This window comes from Homo sapiens, chromosome X (genome assembly GCF_000001405.40).
Source record: "Homo sapiens chromosome X, GRCh38.p14 Primary Assembly".
Lineage (NCBI taxonomy): Eukaryota > Metazoa > Chordata > Mammalia > Primates > Hominidae > Homo > Homo sapiens.
The window spans coordinates 153,600,229-153,618,511 of NC_000023.11; the positions used below are offsets into that span (position 1 = coordinate 153,600,229).

The window sequence follows — 18,283 nt, forward strand, 5'->3', positions numbered from 1 at the left end:
CCATCCCAGCTGGGTTAGTTTCCTGGGGCTGCTGTAACAAATGACCACAAATTGGGTTGCTAAAAACAGCAGAAGTATATCCTCTCTCAATTCTGGAGGCCAGACACCTGAAATGGAGGTGACACTAGGGCTTTGCTCCCTCAAAGGCTCTGGCAGAGGATCAGTTCTTCCTTGCTCTTCCAGCTTCTGCAGCCTGAGTTCTTCCTGGGCTTGTGGCCCCATCACTCCAATCTGTGCCTCCGTCTCTACATGGCCTTCTCCCTGTCTTCTCGTCTGTCTCTTATAAGCACACCTGTCACTGGATTAGGGCCTACCTAGATAATCCAGGAGGAGCTCATCTTGACATCCTTATTTTCATTACATCTTGCAAAGGCCCTTCTGCTAAATAAGGTCACAGTAACAGGGATTAGGACACGGACACACCTTTTGGGGGCTGGCATTCACCCCACAATACCAGCCGCCAGAGCGAGCTTTCTAAAAGGCGAGGCTGAACAGGTCCTGCCCTGCCTAACACCCTCCGGAGTCCCTTCACCTTCAGGAGAAAATGTGAGGCCTTGACCTCACATGCTGGTCCTTGTGGAGTCACCCTATCAACTGACCAGCCTCGGATCTCACCACTTTGCCTCATGGCAGAGACCTTCGGCAGGTCCCCCAAAGGTTATGGTCTCCTGGCTGAACGTCTCTGCACGTATTCTGCCTGGTGAAGGAATTACCACTCCACTTCCATCACCCAGCTTGCTCTTGTCTGTATGTGCGCGGGTGTGCACGTGTGTGTGCATATGTGTGCGTGTGTGGACTGACTCAGGGTCCCCAGCTCCCTGTGCTGCTGACACCTGCCACGCCTTGAGCACCGTGTCTGTCTGCAAGCTGTGAGCAGCCCCACCCTCTTCCCCAGCCCAAGGCTGAAACCTAGGCAATGCCCAGAGGGCCCACCTCCCCTCAGCCCCGTTGGTGGAGGCCAGGTCCTGTGTTCCCCCAGACAGTGCCCTGGGCTGGACCAGCCACAGCTAGATCTGGAAGGCTCAAGCCCATGTTCCCTAAAGCAGCTATGGGCCTTGGGGGATCAGGCTGCTGCCTCTCAGCTTCCCCCACCACCACATCTGTGCACACTAACACACACCCCCATGCACACGCACACACATGCATCACACATCCCCCCCCCACATACACACATGCACACGTGCACATATGTGAACACCCCAATTCAAACAGTGCTTCCCTCTGGCCCCTGGTGGCCCGCCCATCCTCTAGGCACAACTCCTCCTTCTCCTCTGGGCCTTATGTGCTGAAAAGAGTCCGGGCTCAGCAAGTAAAAGGTGCCTGGGAATGTGAGCCGAGAGAATGACTCAATGAACACATGAATTTTAAAGCCCTGGGTCACCTCGGCGCAGTGGTTGATGAATGAATAATTCACTAGCCACCAACTGGAGCCAGCAAACCTTTAGGCAGCACCTCCTCTCCCACTGGCAAGCCTGTCCCCAGTGTCCCAAAGGTGGCATCCCCCGTCTCATCACCCCGGCTCAGATGGTGAGTTCCTTGAGGGCTGAAGCCTGGTTCTCAACCCCAGGCTCGACCCTGAGGTTGACAGTCACCATCAGAAGCGCGATTCTGTAATATTTGCCAACGCTTCCTTAGCTAATCCTCACCATGTGCCCATACATTGATTAAATCACAGCCTACCCCTCACAATAGCACTATTATGGAAAAGAGTGAGTGACTCATTTCAAGGAATAGGACTCGGGCTGAAGCTCAAAGGATGAGGCAGAGAAAGAGGGAAGAGGCATTTGGGGTCCAGAAGAGAGGCTGTGCACGGGCAGGGTCACTTGAAAGCCTGTGTGGTCTTCAAAAAGCATGGGCAATTTCCAAAGCACCCACCCTGCTCTGGTCTTCATCCTGGCAGCCTCATCAAAGTCCAGGCCTGCCACTTGTCCTTAGAAACTCCTCGCTGCCTGGGAACCTCCTGCCACAGTCACCTCTCCACTGTACCTTCCGAGCCAGCTCCCTGTCACCATCGGCAAGATCCACAGCCTCCATCTCTGTTCTCCCTCCCCGCTCCCCACTGCCTACCCACCCTTCATCTTTCTATTCAATTATTTATTTATTTATTTATTTATTTATTTATTGAGACAGATTCTCACTCTGCCGCCCAGGCTGGAGTGCAGTAGCATGATCTTGGCTCACTGTAACCTCCACCTCCCGGGTTCAGGTGATACTCCTGCCTCAGCCTCCTGAGTAGCTGGCATTACAGGCCAGGCGTGTGCCACCACACCCAGCTAATTTTTTGTATTTTTAGTAGAGACGGGGTTTCACCATGTTGGCCAGGCTGGTCTCAAACTCCTGACCTCAGGTGATTTGGCCACCTCGGCCTCCCAAAGTGCTGGAATTACAGGTGTGAGCCACAAAACCTGGTCAGATTGTAACTTTTTGGTGAATCTTCTGCCTGGTATTATTTTCTTTTTCAGCGATTTGAGTAACCAGGAGCTCAGTAGAGTAATTGAGCAAGCTCTGAGCATGCACGGGATCTTGGGTGTGACCAAGTTGGACCTAAGGAGAAGTGGTGCCAGTTGGGCATGAGGGCCGGAAAATCCACCCCAGCAATAGATGTGTGGGAGACTGAAACCAGATGAGTGGGTGCCAGGGCCAGGGAGGGAGCACAGGGAGTGACTGCTGATGGAGACAGGGGTGACAAGGATGTTCTGGAATTAGATAGTGGCAATGGTGGCACAACTCTGTGAATGCTTTAAGTGGGTGAATTTTATGGTATGTGAATGATATCTGAGTAAATCCATTATTTTTTAAAACTACCACATGCAATCGGGCCACTGAGGACAAAATCTTCTTATGGGGAGAAGGGGTTTCACAAGGAAGAGCTGGGAGACTGGCCAGCAAAGAAAGTCGGAGGGCAGAGCAGCTGGAAGAAGCGGGCAATGTTACGGAGCCAGGAAGCTCTCAGAAGGGCCAAGTGAATGCAAGGAGCTGAGAAACCCAGGGCGTCAGCAGGACAGCCACAGCAAGGGTGGCCGGGCTGTCCTGGGCCTCCGATAGCCCAGGGACGACTCCTGATAGCAAGGAGGCGGTGCGGGAGGGGACCAGAGTGGGGTGTACCCTCAAAGTCCTGCAACGAGGTCAGCGAGGTCACCTCTGAAACAAGGCTCCGCTGCGATGGTTGGAGATGGGGGATCCTCATTGTGGGGGCGCACAGCAGCCAGAGTGGGAGCTGATGGAAACACCTTTGCCCGAAATCTGTCTCCTAGGCAGCCCCTGAGCCCCTCCTGTGATGAGCAGCTGGCTCCCCGTCTCGGGTGGGTGAAGGCTCCTGCAGCAGGAGGCACCTTGTGGAAGCTCCTGTCCTGCAACCCCATGGGGACTCCACTCACAGCCACTGGTCCCACTGTGACCCTCTCGCTGGAGCAAAGCAGGAAAGCCACTGGCAAATGATTTGCAGTTCCATTCTCATACACGAGAACTCTAGAAGTTTCCACTTGCCCCAAAGAGCAACATTATGCTTTTACTATCCTTCCCGCTAAGATGCTTTAGCTCTCCGGCTCCATGCCACAGTCTGTCTCCAGGGACCTTGATCTCGCCATCCCTCGCATGTCACACAGGTCCACTCTATCCATGACAACATGCTGACAGGATCTGGGGATCAGGAGCAAGTGGCTAAGGAAGGGAGGGAGGGTAGAGGTCAAGGTATCAGGGAGAGAAGAAGGAGGCCCGTCTATAGCATGAGTTACTCAATTGTCATGCATTAGTGGGGCCCTAAATGTGTTATTTTCCTATGGCGTATTTGTACAAAAGTATCAAAGTGAGGATGTATTTGTTTCCTTTCATGGTCCCCCCACCCTTTCCTGTGGCTGCCATAACAAAGTAATACAACAGAAATGCACTCTCTTGCAGCTCTGGAGGCCAGAAGCCTAAGATCCAGGTGTCTGCAGGACCCTGTTCCCTCCTCTGCAGGCTCTGGGGGAGGCTCCTTCTTGCCTCTTCCAGTTCCCGGGGGATCTGGGTGTCCCCTGGCTTGTGGCGGCACCACTGTATTCTCTGTGAATCCACGTGGCCTTCTCCTCTGTGTTTGTGACTTCTTTCCTTCTTATAAGGACACCTGTCATTGGATTTAGGGCCCTAATCCAAGAGGATCTCATCTCGAGATCCTTAACTTAATTACATCTGCACAGATGCTTTTTCCAAATAAGGTTCCATTCACTGAGTTCAGAGGGTTTGTTTGTTTGTTTGTTTGTTTGTTTTTGAGATGGAGTCTCGCTCTGTCACTGCATGGTAACCCCTCTGGTGCTGTCCTCAATCTGCTGAGACCAGTACTGTCCAGCTCCTCTCTTTTCTTCCAAGCCAGCTCGTCATATTGGGCCCGGATGTCTGCCATGATTTTGGCAAGGTCCTGAGATTTGGGGCCTCTACCTCCACGGTCAACTCAGAGCTGGCAATCTGGGCTTGTAGGCCTTTTACTTCCTCTTCGTGGTTCTTCTTCATGAAGAGCAGCTCCTCCTTGAGGGCCTCGATCTCTGTCTCCAGCTGCAGCCGAGTGACATTGGTGTCATCAATGACCTTGCAAAGCCCATGGATGTTGTTCTCCACAGACTGGCACATGGCCAGCTCTGTCTCATACTTGACTCTAAAGTCATCAGCAGCAAGACAGGCACTGTCGATCTGCAGAACGGTGCGGGCATTGTCCACAGTATTTGCAGAGATCTGAGCCCTCAGGTCCTCGATGGTCTTGAAGTAATGGCTCCAGTCTCTGACCTGGGATCCCTTCTTCTCCAGATGCTCCCGGATTTTGCTCTCCAGCTTCTGGTTCTCAGTCTCCAGGCTCCTCACTCTGCCCAGGTAGGAGGCCAGGCGGTCGTTCAGGCTTTGCATGGTCTCCTTCTTGTTCTGGATGCCTCCCATTCCTGCCAGACCCCCGGCCATCCCCGTGGCCAGGCCCCAGACCCCATGCCACCCTGGAAGCTGGTGGAGCAGGACACGGAGATCCAGGAACCAGAACCCCCAGCACCTGCATAGACGCTTGCCTCACTGCTGAACAGCCAGGGGCCGTAGCTGGGCGCCTGGACAGAGCCTAGGGACTGATAGTTGGTGGAAAAGGTGGAGCCAGTGGTGAAGCTCATGCTCTCCGGCGGGAGAGTGAGAGGACAGGACTCGGGCTTTGCCAACGACCAAGATGACAATACTCTCTCAATTGATCTACAAGTTAAATGGAATCCTTATTAAAATCCCAGCTGGCTTAAATTAAGAAAGAAAGAAAGAAAAATAAAGAAGAAAGAAAGAAAGAGAGAGAGAGAGAAAGAAAGGAAAGGAAAGAAAGAAAAGAAGGAAAGAAAGGAAAGAAAGAAAGAAAGGAAAGAAAGAAAGAAAGAAGGAAAGAAAGAAAGAAAGAAAGAAAGAAAGAAAGAAAGAAAGAAAGAAAGAAAGAAAAAAGAAAGAAAGAAAAGAAAAGAAAAGAAAAGAAAAGAAAGAAAAGAAAATCCTAGCTGGCTTTTGTGCAGACATTGACAAGCTGATCCTAAAATGCATATGAAAATGCAAGAAACTCAGAATAGCCAAAACAATCTTGAAAAAGAACAAAGTTATTTTTCCTAATTTTCCAAGACTCACATTTCCTAATTTCAAAGCTTACCACAAAGCTACAGGACTCAAGTCTGTGTGGTACTAGCACAAAGATACTTATACATCAATTGAACAGAATTAAGAATTCAGAAATAAACCCTTACATCTATGATCAATTGATTTTTGCCAAGAGTGCCAAGACCATTCAATGGCAGAAAGAATAGTCTGTTTAACAAACGGTGTTGGGACAATTAGATATCCACATGCAAAAGAATGAACTTGGACCCCTAGCTCAGACCATATACAAAAATTAACTCAAAATGGATCATAGATCTAAATGTAAGAGCTAAAACTATAAAACTCTTGGAAGAAAACACAGGAGTCAATCTTGATGACCTTGGCTTAGGCAATGGTTTCTTAGAAAGGATGTCCAAAGTGTCCAACAAGCAAAGAAAAAACTAAATTGGAAAATGAAAAACTGTTGTGCTTCAAAGGGCACCATCGAGAAAGTGACAAGGCGACCCCCAAAGTAACAGAGCCTGTTTGCAAATTACACAGTAGCTGATAATTGACTTGTATCTAGATCATATAAAGAACCAATGCAACTCAATAACAAAAAGAAATAGCCCGATTAAAATTAGGTAAAGGGATTTTGTTCACCAGTAAAGGGATTTTGTTCACCGCTGCTCTGCTCATGTTGCTACTGCAGTTCCGAGGCAGCAGGAAGAGATGCGGCCCCTGGATGTCGCCGAGCTGTCAGAACCGGAGGAAGTGGAGGTGCTGGAGCTGGAGGGGGGTTTTGAGCAGTTTCTGCTCCCGGTCATCCATGAGATGCCAGAGGACATCGCGTCGCTGACAAGCACTGGCGGGCGTACCTGTGGAAGCGGAGCACGCTGTGGGAGATGGACAATATGCTCTTCCAGATCAAAACCCAGGTGGAGGCTTCGGAGGAGCATCCTCAACCGCCTCCACAACCCGGGCGACGCAGTGGAGGGCAGGGTGACCAAGAGGTGCCAGAAGGCCGAGGAGAAGGCCAAGGAAATGGTGAAGATGGCAGAGATGCTGGTGGAGCTGGCCCAGAGGATAGAGACGAACGAGTCGAGAGCACGGTCGGTGGTTTACAGCCAATGGATTCTGGTAAACTGGTGGAGATTGGCTGACACCCAGAAGAAGCTGAAACCAGAGAGCCTTTGGTTTTCTCTATTTTACTCTGTCCACGCTCTGTCCTCACTCACACTCAGTTCTCTGCTATGGTCTGTGGTTGATGAACTCAATATGAGTTTTGATTGTTTGTGTTTTTGTCTGGGGAAGTAAGTTTATTTGGAAAATGCTCTCTCATACAGGAATGAGGGCCTAGACCACGCTCTTGCAGCAGTCACATTTGTTCCTGGGCTTTGGTTGTTATTTCTAAATGTTTGAGGTGCTTTGCTCTTTCTTGTGTGATCTGATAGCTCCCTGGAACTTTGGATCTGTGTGTGACACATGAGCCTCATTGTTGGAGTTCTCCAGCTCTGGAGGGGCTGAAGGAGCCGCAATGATTCTAGAAGATGACTCCATACAGCAACTACTGAAGAAAGGACCAGACTTCAGCTGGGAATGTGGATGGGCCGACCTGGCTGGGACCCATGAATCTGGAGAAGAGCTGGAGAATGGAGAGTATTATCTGTATTTGAGGACTTTAATTTCTGTGTAAGACCAAAGGAGGAGAGACACATTTTGTTCAAAATTTAAATTTTATGTGGTACACTATCTGATATAACCTGTCTAGTGAGTTTGTTTGGACAACCTAATTCAGCTTTATCTGACATGGAACCTGAACTAGAGGATGAGATCTTGATATTCTGTACAAGTTGATGTAATACCCTGATGCATTTCGGGGACTCGGCATAAAATGAAAGAGATTTGCAAAGACTCTTGAGGGGCTGGGGGATGAGAGTGTGGAACTGTACATTGGACCCTAAACTGGAGTGGAAGAGGCATCTTCAATGTTCATACATTGTCCAGCTATAAGTTCATTTAAGTAGCAGACCTGATAAATATTTGAGGTCAAAACCCTACCATGTTTTTTTTAAAACTTACCATGTTAATCAAAGTATTCATTTGCTTGAAAAGAAAAAAAAGTTGGGTAAAGAATCTAAATGGACATTTCTCAAAAGACTATATACAATGTGCCATGAGGACATGAAAAAATGGTCAACATCACTAGTCATTAGTGATGCAGATCACTAGAAAATGCAAATCAAAACTAGAATGAGGCTGGGCACAGTGGCTCATGCCTGTAATCCGAGCACTTTGGGAGGCTGAGGCAGGTGGATCACCTTAGGTCAGGAGTTCAACACCAGCCTGGCCAACATGGTGAAACCCCGTGTCTCCCAAAAATACAAAAATTAGCCGGACGTGGTGGTGGGTGCCTGTAATCCTAGCTATTCAGGAGGCTGAAGCAGGAGAATCACTTGAACCCGGGAGGCAGAGGTTGCAGTGAGCTGAGATTGTGCCACTGCACTCCAGCCTGGGCGACAGAGTGAGGCTCTGTCTCAAAAAAGAAAAAAAAAAACTTGAATAAGATAAAATTCACACGTGTTAGGATGACTATAATAAAATTAAAATGGAAAATAACAAGTGTCTGTTTGGAGAGGATGTGGAGAAATCAGAACCCTCATACATTGCTAGTAAGATGTTCAATGGTTATAGCCATTTGGGAAAACAGTCTGGCAGTTCCTCCAAAGGTTAAACATAGAGTAACCATGTGACCTAGCAATTTCACTCCTAGCTATACAGCCAAGAGAACTGAAAGCATATGCCCACACCAGATCATGTGCACGAATGTTCATAGCAGATTTATTCATAATAGCCAAAAAGCAGAAACAACTCAAATGTCCATCAATAGATGAATAAACAAAATGTGGCATATCCAGGCAACGGAACATTATTCAGCCCCCAAAAGCAATGAAACACTGGTCCATGCTGCAGTGTTGGTGAACCTTGGAAACATTATGCCAAGCCAAAGAAGCCAGATACAAAAGGCCACAAAATTATATGAGTCCATTTCTATGACAGATTGGAACAGGCAAATCCATAGAAAGGAAGACGAATGGTTGCCAGGACTTAGGGGGAGAGGAGAATGAGGAGTTAGTGCTTAGTTGATACAGGGTTCCTGGTGGGGATGATGAAAACGTTCTGGAATGAGATCGTGGTGATGGTGACATAACTCTATGAATATTTTTTAAAGTATTGCATTGTACACTTTAAAATTTTTTTTGTAAAGGCAGTTTGCCAGGTCTCGAACTCCTGGACTCAAGTGACCCACCCATCATGGCCTCTCAAAGTGCTGGGATTACAGGCATGAGGCACCATGCCTGGCATGTATACTTTAAATGGGGAAACTGGGTGAAGGGTACATGGGACCTCCCTGCACTGTCTTTAGAACTTCCTGTGAATCTATCACAACTCAAAATAAAGACAAACCAACAAAAGAAGGTGTCAGGTGGACTGGGCTCATTCAGGTGTTGGCAGAATTCAGTTCCTTGGAGCTATAGGCCCTAGTTTCACCTTCCCGCCATCAATGATGCCAAGAGCTCTTCCCATCATCTCTGCATCTTTCTGACTTCGGCTTCTGGCCTTGGCCAGTGAAGCTCTGCTTGTATGAGCTCCTCTCCCTATGTTAAGGTCAACTGATGAGTAGCCCAAATCACATCGGCAAAGTCCCTTTGGCCATGTAATGTAACATACTCACGGGCGTGACACGGGGATGAAGGTCATGGGGGCCGAAATTCTGCCTACCAGAAGTGGATTATTTCAAAGCTATTTGGGATGGAGAATCCCCAGGATCAGTGAGGAGGTGGATGTTGGGGAGGAGGAAGAGGAGATATCAAGGAGCTCTCCCAAGTCTGGGCCAACCAGGTGGGTGAAGGTGCCAGTCTCCGAGATGAGGAACGGGTGTGGGAAGCAGAAGCGCTCCATTGTGACATGTGGAGTTTGAGGGGCCTATGTCTTCCTGGGGGTTGTCCCCTAAGGGAAAGGTCTGGACAGGCATAAGAGGGACTGAGGTCACCCAGGACGAGGGTGGCGGGTGAAAAGGAGCTGCCGGGGCAGCGGGCCGCCGCGAGCCCCTCCTGGGATCTTCCGCCCCAAGCCCAGCCTGCGATTCCCTCCCTGGACCCCTTCTCCTTCCTCTCCGAAGCCCTCCCTGGAAGGAGCCCCGCATGCTGACCGCAGCTGCCGCTAGGGGGCAGAGCCGTCTACACCAAAAGCCACACCGCTCCAGCGTGCGCGTGCGGGGAGGTGCGCGAGCGCGTGTGCACGCACGGCGGGGGCTCGCTTGACGCTGAGTCCGGCGAACTAAGCTCGCCACCCCCACCCCATCCCCCTGCTGCTGGGAGCCCCAGGCAGTCCCCGGCCAAGGCGCTCCAAAAGGTCCCCTCTGTTGAGGACTGGGAAGCAGACCCCGCCCCAGTGCCCCCCAAAGCGCCCGCCCTCCCCTGGTGTGGCTGGAGAGGGGTCTGATCCGGCGGGGCTGAGCTCGGAGCTGGGTCTCCTCCGGGCCCGGGGTTGCGGCGGGGGGCGGTCACTCCCCCTCCCTGCCTCAGCCCCGCACCCTCCACGCCGTGTCTCCAGCATCGAAATTCACAGCAAAATACACAACTAGTGAAGAACTGGGCTCGGGTCCCAGAAATAGGCTGCCCTTTCCAGAGGGTGACGGGAATATCCTCCCTGCTTCCCGTTGCCATGGTTTCCGCTCAGCCACCAGGCAGCCTGTTGCGCGGCAGCCATTTGCCGCGACGGGATGCTGCTGCCGCTGGTGTGCAGCAGGCCGCCACGCGAGGAAGGGGACAGACTGCCCTGGAGACCCGCCCACCACGGAGAAAAGGCCACGGATCTAAAGACACCGGAGGGCGGCTACGCGGGCCAGATGGACAAATGCTAGAGTCAGCACCTGTCTGTGGGGGCGCCCTTGGCCTGGGCGCTGGACCTAGGCCATCAGGACTGGAGAGCCTTCTTCTCTTCTGGCCAGAGAAAGAGCAAAGGGTGGCTTCCTGACAGGTCCGGAGCTGGCACAGCACAACAGAGCCTAGAAAATCACTAGCAGGGCTGAGCTCGGGGTTCCACCGCTGCAGCCTTCCTGTTGGACCCAGTCTGCTCAAGGACTCCCTCACAGCCCAGTGCTTTCTGTTCACCCCGGGGCGCTCCCAGCCCAGCCTCCTAGCCTCAGTGAGTGGGAAATGTCTGTACTGCCCACTTGTCCTCAAACGCATGTCCTTGCTCGGCTGCTCCCTGCTCTGCCCCATCTGGAGGGGACAGGGTGAGGAGGCGCCCTGGAGGCCTGGCCCCAGCTTGGGCAACACAGCCTAGCGGGGTGATCACACCTGGGTCTGCAGCCCCTCCAGCACTTCCTGGGGCTGTGCCGGCCATTCCAGACCATTCCTGTTGGTGGAACTCATGACAGGGCTTGTTTACGCCAGTCACTGTGTTCTGACACCTCCCCCACCCCGATCATTAACTTTTCTGGTCCTTTTCAGTTATTAAAATTCAGCCCAGACTCACATCCCATGGGCCTCCCCTCCCCATCCTTGGGGCTGGAATGGACTGGAATGGAGAGGAGGTGACCTGACCTCCCTTCCCTCCCTTCCCACCCCCCACCCCCCCGGGCCGGGGCAGGCAGAACTTGTGCCAGGGTGAGGGGGTGAGAGGGGCCCCATCTTTGCCTGGGCTTTTTGATGCCTGCCAATGGGGTCGCCCTTTTCTGAGGGCAGGCTCAGCCCCTTCCTTGCTGAGGCTAAAGACCCTCTGGGATTGGGAAGCGCTGTCCTCTCTGGGCCCCACCAGCGTCTACCGGACCCCCTCAGACCTCTGGCCCCCACACCTTGTGCCCCCAGGGCAGAAGGCAGCTGGGGTAAGAGTGCCTTCAGTCCTGCCAGGCTCAGCAAATGTCCTGCCTTCAGAAACCTCAGCAGGCAGACAGGCAGGTGCCTCCTCAGGAATACAGCGTGCCCCCCATCCCCAGGGGGACGTACCCAGCTCTCCCCACAGCCTCCGGGGACTGCGGGCTGTGTCCACAGCTCTGGCAGGGCCTTATTTTCTCCCAGCTTTTTGGCATTTTATGGATTAAAAACACAGCATTCCCCTAAGGGCAGCCTGCTTCCGTCCGGGCTTCTGTGGGAGTGAGTAAGGCTGGTCTCCTGAGGGAAGTGTGTGATTCTTGCCGGGGCCAGAGGCCAAGACGAGCCAGGAGGGCACTTACCCCTTTGGGGCATCTTGCCCTTGTCCTTTCTGTTTTCTCTACTCAGGCCTCTCCCCTGAGCTGAGGAAACCAAGAGAATTCTTGTCCTTTTGGATAAAGACCTTTTCCTAAGATCGTTTTCTCCTAGAAATAAGCATACTTTATTAAGATATTTTGGACTGGCCGTGCACAGTGGCTCATGCCTGTAATCCCAGCACTTTGGGAGGCCAAGGCGGCGGGGATCACGAGGTCAGGAGTTTGAAAGCAGCCTGGCCAACATGGTGAAACCCCGTCTCTACTAAAAATACAAAAAATTAGCCGGGCGTGGTTGCACACGCCTGTAATCCTAGCTACTCTAGGAGGCTGAGGCAGGAGAATTGCTTGAACCCGGGAGGCGGAGGTTGCAGTGAGCTGAGATCACACCACTGCACTCCAGCCTGGGGGACAGAGTGAGACTTCGTCTAAGGAAAAAAAAAAAAAAAAAAGATATTTTGGACTGATTTTGTGTGTCCTGATGCAGTTTTTCTTTGTGCATTAAACATAGTGAAACACACAGTGCAGCCAAGTGTGGGGCCACACTGCCTCGCTTCCCTCTTCCCCTCACAGAGCCGGGCACGACAGCTGCGGGCACAGGGAGCAATCGCCTGGAGCCAGAGGGGGCAACGCCAGCCCAAGGGCAAATGGGCAACCCTGTGCAAAAGGCTCTGGCAACCAGATCATCTACTTTAGAAGAAAGGAGAAGAAAAAGAGCCCCCAGGAGAGGAAGTAGCCCCTAACCCGACTGACAAGCAATCCGTTCGCAAAGACAGAAGGGCCTTCAGTGAATTGGTTTCAAAGTGCTTGATTTCTTAAAACCAGAACAATTGATCATTAGAGAACTGATTAAGCTACAGCCGCTGTTGAATAAAAGGTAAAAATAAACTCCTTCATTTGAATTCCAAATTCAGGCTTGGAGGTGACCTAGCCATGAGGCAAACTGGCTGTGGGTGGACAGGGCTGCACACGGAGCTGGTGGGTGGACGTCACCTGAAGTCTTCTCTCCTCCCAAAGTGTGGGTGCTGGGACCCCAAGGGCACAGTGTGAATGTCCCCAGCACTTAACACCAGGGTAGCCCAGGTACAGAGGCTGCTGAGGGGCTGGTGCAGGTTCTCCAAGGGCCACTGCTATGCCCAGAATGAGCCACTAGTTCTGGATCAGGAGGAGCAGGGGGTGAGGAGGGGGGGGGGTCCCAAAGGAGAGACTGGTTCGGGGGCAGCTGCAATTTACCAACGGGTACAGAAGTACTTTGACATCTTAGCCGCAGGCACAGCCCTACCAGTGGGTACCAGCTGTTGTGACCAGAGATGGCAGCAGTCAGAGCCAGTCCTGGGACCCAATTTTTCCCCTCATCTGTTACCTGGGGGGGTCACCAGGGCCTAATGAAGACTTTTGAGGTTTCTCAGCCACAAAAGGATCACGGTGCCTCTCCATATGGAATTCAGCAGAACTCTCACCTTTTAAAACGGTCTAGTAGATACTGAGTAGACACAAAAGGACATTTACAAAATATGTGTAAGTGTAAAGAACAATACAACAAACCTCTGTGTACTCACCACCAGCTTAGAAGAAAGGTAACGTTCCCTTTGAAGGACCTTGGGTGACCCTTCTCATTGCCCCATGTCCCCTACCCCCACTTCAGAGGTGACCTTCTGGAATTTTGCATATACCACTCCTGTGTATTTCTTTATAGTTTCACCACCTTTGCATCCCCAAACAATATATTTTTTAGTTTTGCCTGTTTTGAATTTTATACAAATGGAATCATACTGTCTGTATTATTCTGTAACCTGCCTTTCCGCTGAATGTGGTATTCCCGAGACGAAGAGCTGTAATCCATTCTTCCCGCAAGCATTCTGTTCTGTTGTGGGATTAAACTACAACTGATCTCTGCATCATCTGCTTGGTGGAAGGGGGAATTGTTTCCACTTTTTGGGCTGTTACCAGAGTCCTGATGCCCAGCACAAGTTTCACTAGTGGGCATATCCAGAGGAAAATCCCTGGGCCACCAGAAATGTACACTTGCAACTTTGCTGGGCAATGAAAAATTGTTTTCTCAAGTGGTTGTACCAATCCATATGCCCCCCCCTGTAGTATACAAGCTTTCTAGCGGTTTCACAGCCTTGCCAACACTTGATGTCGTCAGACCTTATTTTCCATATGGATAACCAATTGTCCAGCATTATTTATTGAACATCTCCTTCCCCCACTGGCCAGCAATGCCAGCTTTGTCATACATCAAGGTTTTTGTTGTTGTTGTTGTTTGTTTGTTTGTTTTGAGACAGGGTATCACTCTGTCACCCAAGCTAGAGTGCAGTGGCGCGATCTCAGCTCACCACAGCCTCGACCTCCCGGGCTCAGGTGGTCCTCCCACCTTAGCCCCCTGAGTAGCTGGGACTACAGATGCCCGCCACCATGCCTGGCCAATTTTTTGTACGTTTTGTAGAGACAGGGTCTCACCATGTGTTGCCCAGGCTGGTCTCAAACTCCTGGGCTCAAGTGATCCTCCTCTTCAGCCTCGCAAAGTGCTGGGATTCCAGGCATGAGCCACTGTGCCCAGCCCGCACTATCTTAAATATGGCACCTTTATAATAATTCTTAGAATCTGCCGAGGCAACTCCACCCACCTCCTCCTTCTCTCTGTCTTAGCTGTGCCATTTGTTCTTCCATATAGATTTAAGAACCACCTTGTCAAGCTCCGTTTACAAATGGCATTTAGATTACAATTACGTTCAATCTAAAACTTAAATTGGAAAGAACTGGCATGCTCAAAACATTGATTTTTCAGAAAATCCTGGATATCCAAGGTAATGGCAGCCCCTTAAATCTGGAACTCTCAACAGAGCTTCCAAACCAAAATCACTTTTAAAAAGCAAGCACAAATAAACCCACCCAAAACCCATGTCCTCGTCATAATCAGAAGACAGAGAGCATTTGAACTTCAAAGTACCTAAAACAGATCAAGTCACAAGGGTGGGGAAATAGATCCTCACAGGAAATACAAACGGAAACAAGTGAAGCAAACCATATATCGAACAATAACACAACCACCTTGAAAGAGAAAAAAACTCGGCAAGCAACCTGAACACGGTATGGGACTATATGTCCTCGAGTGAAAAACAAAAATAACTCTAGACAAACCTGGAAATCTGCAGAGTAGTTTTCTCCTTTCCAGAGACATGAGTTGATGATTCTGAAACTACTTTCCAAGTATTCTAGGACTGAGCAAATACATAAATATATTTCAGGTAATGGGAGCCAACTTTCTCAGCAAGAGGGAAAGAAGTTACCAACCAGCAAGTAGGAGGAAGACTAGAAGGGACGTGGTGCTGTTGGGTTGAAATTGGATGGGTCAGTATGAACTCATGGTAGATAGATAGATGGATATATATAGAGAGAGAGACAGAGAGAGAGATAGATAGATATGGGACTGTATATACATATATACACATATATGTATGTATTCTCTATGTGTGTGCAATTTCCCAGTAAGCTTCTAAGTGTCATTATCCACTCAAAATGAATTAGGGATCCTAGGAGAAATGGCTGATTCCAGAAAAGGAGACCAGGGAAAGTCAAGATGAGCCTAGAACACCCTGTTCTTCCAGAAAGTAAGAAACCCCCGAGTCCACAGTGATAAAAAGAAATAAGTAGAGTTGTACACTGAATAATGACACTTTGGTCAAAAACAAACTGCACATATGACAGTGTTCCCACGAGATTATAATACTGCACTTTTTTTTTCTTTTTGAGATGGGGTCTCACTCTGTTGCCCAGACTGGAGTGCAGTGGCGTGACCTCAGCTCACTGCAGCCTAGACCTCCCAGGCTCAACCAATCCTCCCATGTCAGCCTCCCTAGTAGCTGGCACCTGCCACCACACCTGGCTATTTTTAAACTTTTTTGTAGAGATTGGGTCTCACTATGTTGGTCAGGATGTTCTTGAATTTCTAGGATCAAGTGATCCTCCCGCCTCAGCCTCCCAAAGTGCTGAGACTACAGGTGTGAGCCACCGTGCCCAGCCTATAATACTGCATTTTGACTGGACCTTTTCTAGGTTTAGACACACAAATACTTACCACTGTGTTAACAGCTGCCTACATTATCATAGTGTACAGGTTTGTAGCCCAGGAGCAATAGGCCATACCATATAGCCTGGGAGTGCAGTAAGCTACACCATCTAGGTTTGCGTATGTGCGCTCTAGGATGTTCGCACAATGATGTAATCACCTAACAACACTCTTCTCATAACATAGCCCCATCATTAAGCAACACACGATTGTAAAGGGGGAGAAGAGAAGCTCTTTCTCACAGAAGAAAGCCAAATAATAAATGAAGAAGGAATGATGGAAATAGGAAATCGCCATTTGGCAACTATTGTAGTAATGAGTTTCAAGCAAAAAATAATCAATGGATGAAAAAACTCATGGGAACTGGACAGTAGAGACATCTGGAAGATGCCACCTTAACCACATGATCAAAGTGATCATCATCAGCAATGGGACAAGGGGACTGGTGTCGTGGCCTCCTGATGCCATACACAGAGAGGGAAGCAGCACTTCTGAGCTATTCCCATGGAAAGTGCAAAACCTGGATGGAATCATGAGGAAACATCAGCCAAGCCCCAACACACAGAAATGCTGCAAAATCACTGGCCCATATGCTCCTGAAAACTGTCGAAAACCACGAAGAACAAAGAGCTGGTCCAGACTTAAGGAGACTAAAGAGCTAGGTCAACTGCATAGAACGTGTGATCAGAGGTGCTCCTTTTCTGGAAAGAACATTATAGAAAAGATATTATTGGCACAATCAATAAACTCTAAGGTCTGTAGATTATAGTATTTTTTTTTTTTGAGACAGTGTCTTGCTCTGTCACCCAGGCTGGAGTACAGTGGCATGATCATAGCTCACTGCAGTGTCAACCTCCCAGGCTCAAGCAACCCTCCCACCTCAGCCTCCCCAGTAGCTGGGACCACAGGTGCACAACTACATGCCTGGCTAAATTTTTTTTAACTTTTTGTAGAGATGGTGTCTCACTGTGTTACCCAGGCTGGAGTGCAGTGGCACGATCATGGCTCACTGCAGCCTCCACCTCCTGGGCTCATGATCCTCCCACCTCAGCCTCCACAGTAGCTGGGACCACAGGCGTGCACCACCACACCTGGCTAAATTTTCTTGTATTTTTTGTAGAAATGGGGTTTCACCATTTGCCCAGGCTGGTCTTGAGCTCGTGGGCTCAGGGATGGGCCCACCTTGGCCTCCCAAAGTCTAGGATTGCAGGTATGAGCCACCACGCCTGGGAAACACTTGTCGGTGTCCGTCCTTTTGAACAGAGCCATCTTAGTGTGAAGTGGTATCTCATGTGGCTTTGATTTGCATTTCTCTGATGACTGGTGATGTCGAGCATCTTTTCCTGTGCTCATTCGCCTCTCGCACATCTTATTTGGAGAAATATCTATTCAAATCCTCCACTCACTTTAAAAATTGGGTCATTTGTCTTTTTATTGTGGGTTTTTGTGAGGTTCTTGATATATTCTAGATACAAGTCCCTTATCTGATATATAATTTGCAAATCTTCTATTTCATTCTGCGAGTTGTCTTTTCACTTTCTTGATAGTAACATTTGCAGCACAGAACTGTTCAATTTTGATGAAGTCCAATGTATCTATTTTATCTTTTGTCACTTGGGCTTTGTGTATCACGTTTAAGAAACTATTGCCTGATCTAAGGTCATGAAGACTTACACCTACGTTTTCTTCTAAGAGTTTCATAGTTTTGGGGCTTGCATGTGAGTCTTTAATCCATTTTGAGTGACTTTTTCTGTATGGTGTGAAGCTGGAGTTCAGCTTCATTCTTTGGCATGTGGATGTTTAGTTACCCCAGCACCGTTTGTTAAAGAGATGATTCTTTCTCCCATTGAATGGTCTTGGTGCACTTGGCAAAAATCAATTGACCATTGATGTGTGGGTTTATTTCTGGCTTCTCAATTCTATTCCATGGATCTATGAGCCTTTTCTTATGTCAATACCATGCAGTCTTGATTCCCGTAGGTTATCCTAAAGTTTGTATTTGATAATTCCACTATGGGTCTATTTCTGCTGCTTTCATTCATATTGCCTTCACTCTTCATATGCCTAGTTATTTTTATTGTTTGCTGAACATTTCAATTGCAAACATTTTTATAGTGATAACTTAAGGACGAGGGCAATGTCACCTTCCTCCAGAGAAGATGCCACTTGGCTGTCCCAGCTTCTGAGGATGCCAGCAATCTAAGATTAGTTGCCCTAATCCAGTTTTGGGTATTGAGAGGCTAAAAAGCTAGCTGAAGTACTAGGAGACTTTCCATTGCTGGATCACCTTTACTCCTAGAGAACAGCCCTACAGGGTCCCCACCGAAATGAGAGAGATGCACCAGGGTGCTCCATGAGCAGGGTCCTGGTTCCCGTGCCTGTCCTGATAGCCCCAGGAGCTG

At 49.4% G+C, this 18,283-nt stretch overlaps 2 pseudogenes, besides 3 other annotated features; one reads left to right on the forward strand and one right to left on the reverse strand.

Annotated features, from left to right (window-relative positions):
* Positions 422–923: an enhancer, noted in NCBI's record as "H3K4me1 hESC enhancer chrX:152866105-152866606 (GRCh37/hg19 assembly coordinates)". NCBI's record gives its function as "activates a minimal SCP1, AML or CMV promoter by ChIP-STARR-seq in naive H9 embryonic stem cells {active_cell/tissue: H9 hESC(naive)}" and the evidence as "EXISTENCE:reporter gene assay evidence [ECO:0000049][PMID:30033119]".
* Positions 924–1,423: an enhancer, noted in NCBI's record as "H3K4me1 hESC enhancer chrX:152866607-152867106 (GRCh37/hg19 assembly coordinates)". NCBI's record gives its function as "activates a minimal SCP1, AML or CMV promoter by ChIP-STARR-seq in naive H9 embryonic stem cells {active_cell/tissue: H9 hESC(naive)}" and the evidence as "EXISTENCE:reporter gene assay evidence [ECO:0000049][PMID:30033119]".
* KRT18P48 (keratin 18 pseudogene 48) lies at positions 4,268–5,121 on the reverse strand (annotated as a pseudogene).
* Positions 5,122–5,866: 745 nt separating this feature from the next.
* Positions 5,867–7,809, forward strand: MRFAP1P1 (MRFAP1 pseudogene 1; annotated as a pseudogene).
* Positions 9,751–9,860: a silencer, noted in NCBI's record as "silent region_21067". NCBI's record gives its function as "represses an Ori minimal core promoter by ATAC-STARR-seq in GM12878 lymphoblastoid cells {active_cell/tissue: GM12878}" and the evidence as "EXISTENCE:reporter gene assay evidence [ECO:0000049][PMID:35858748]".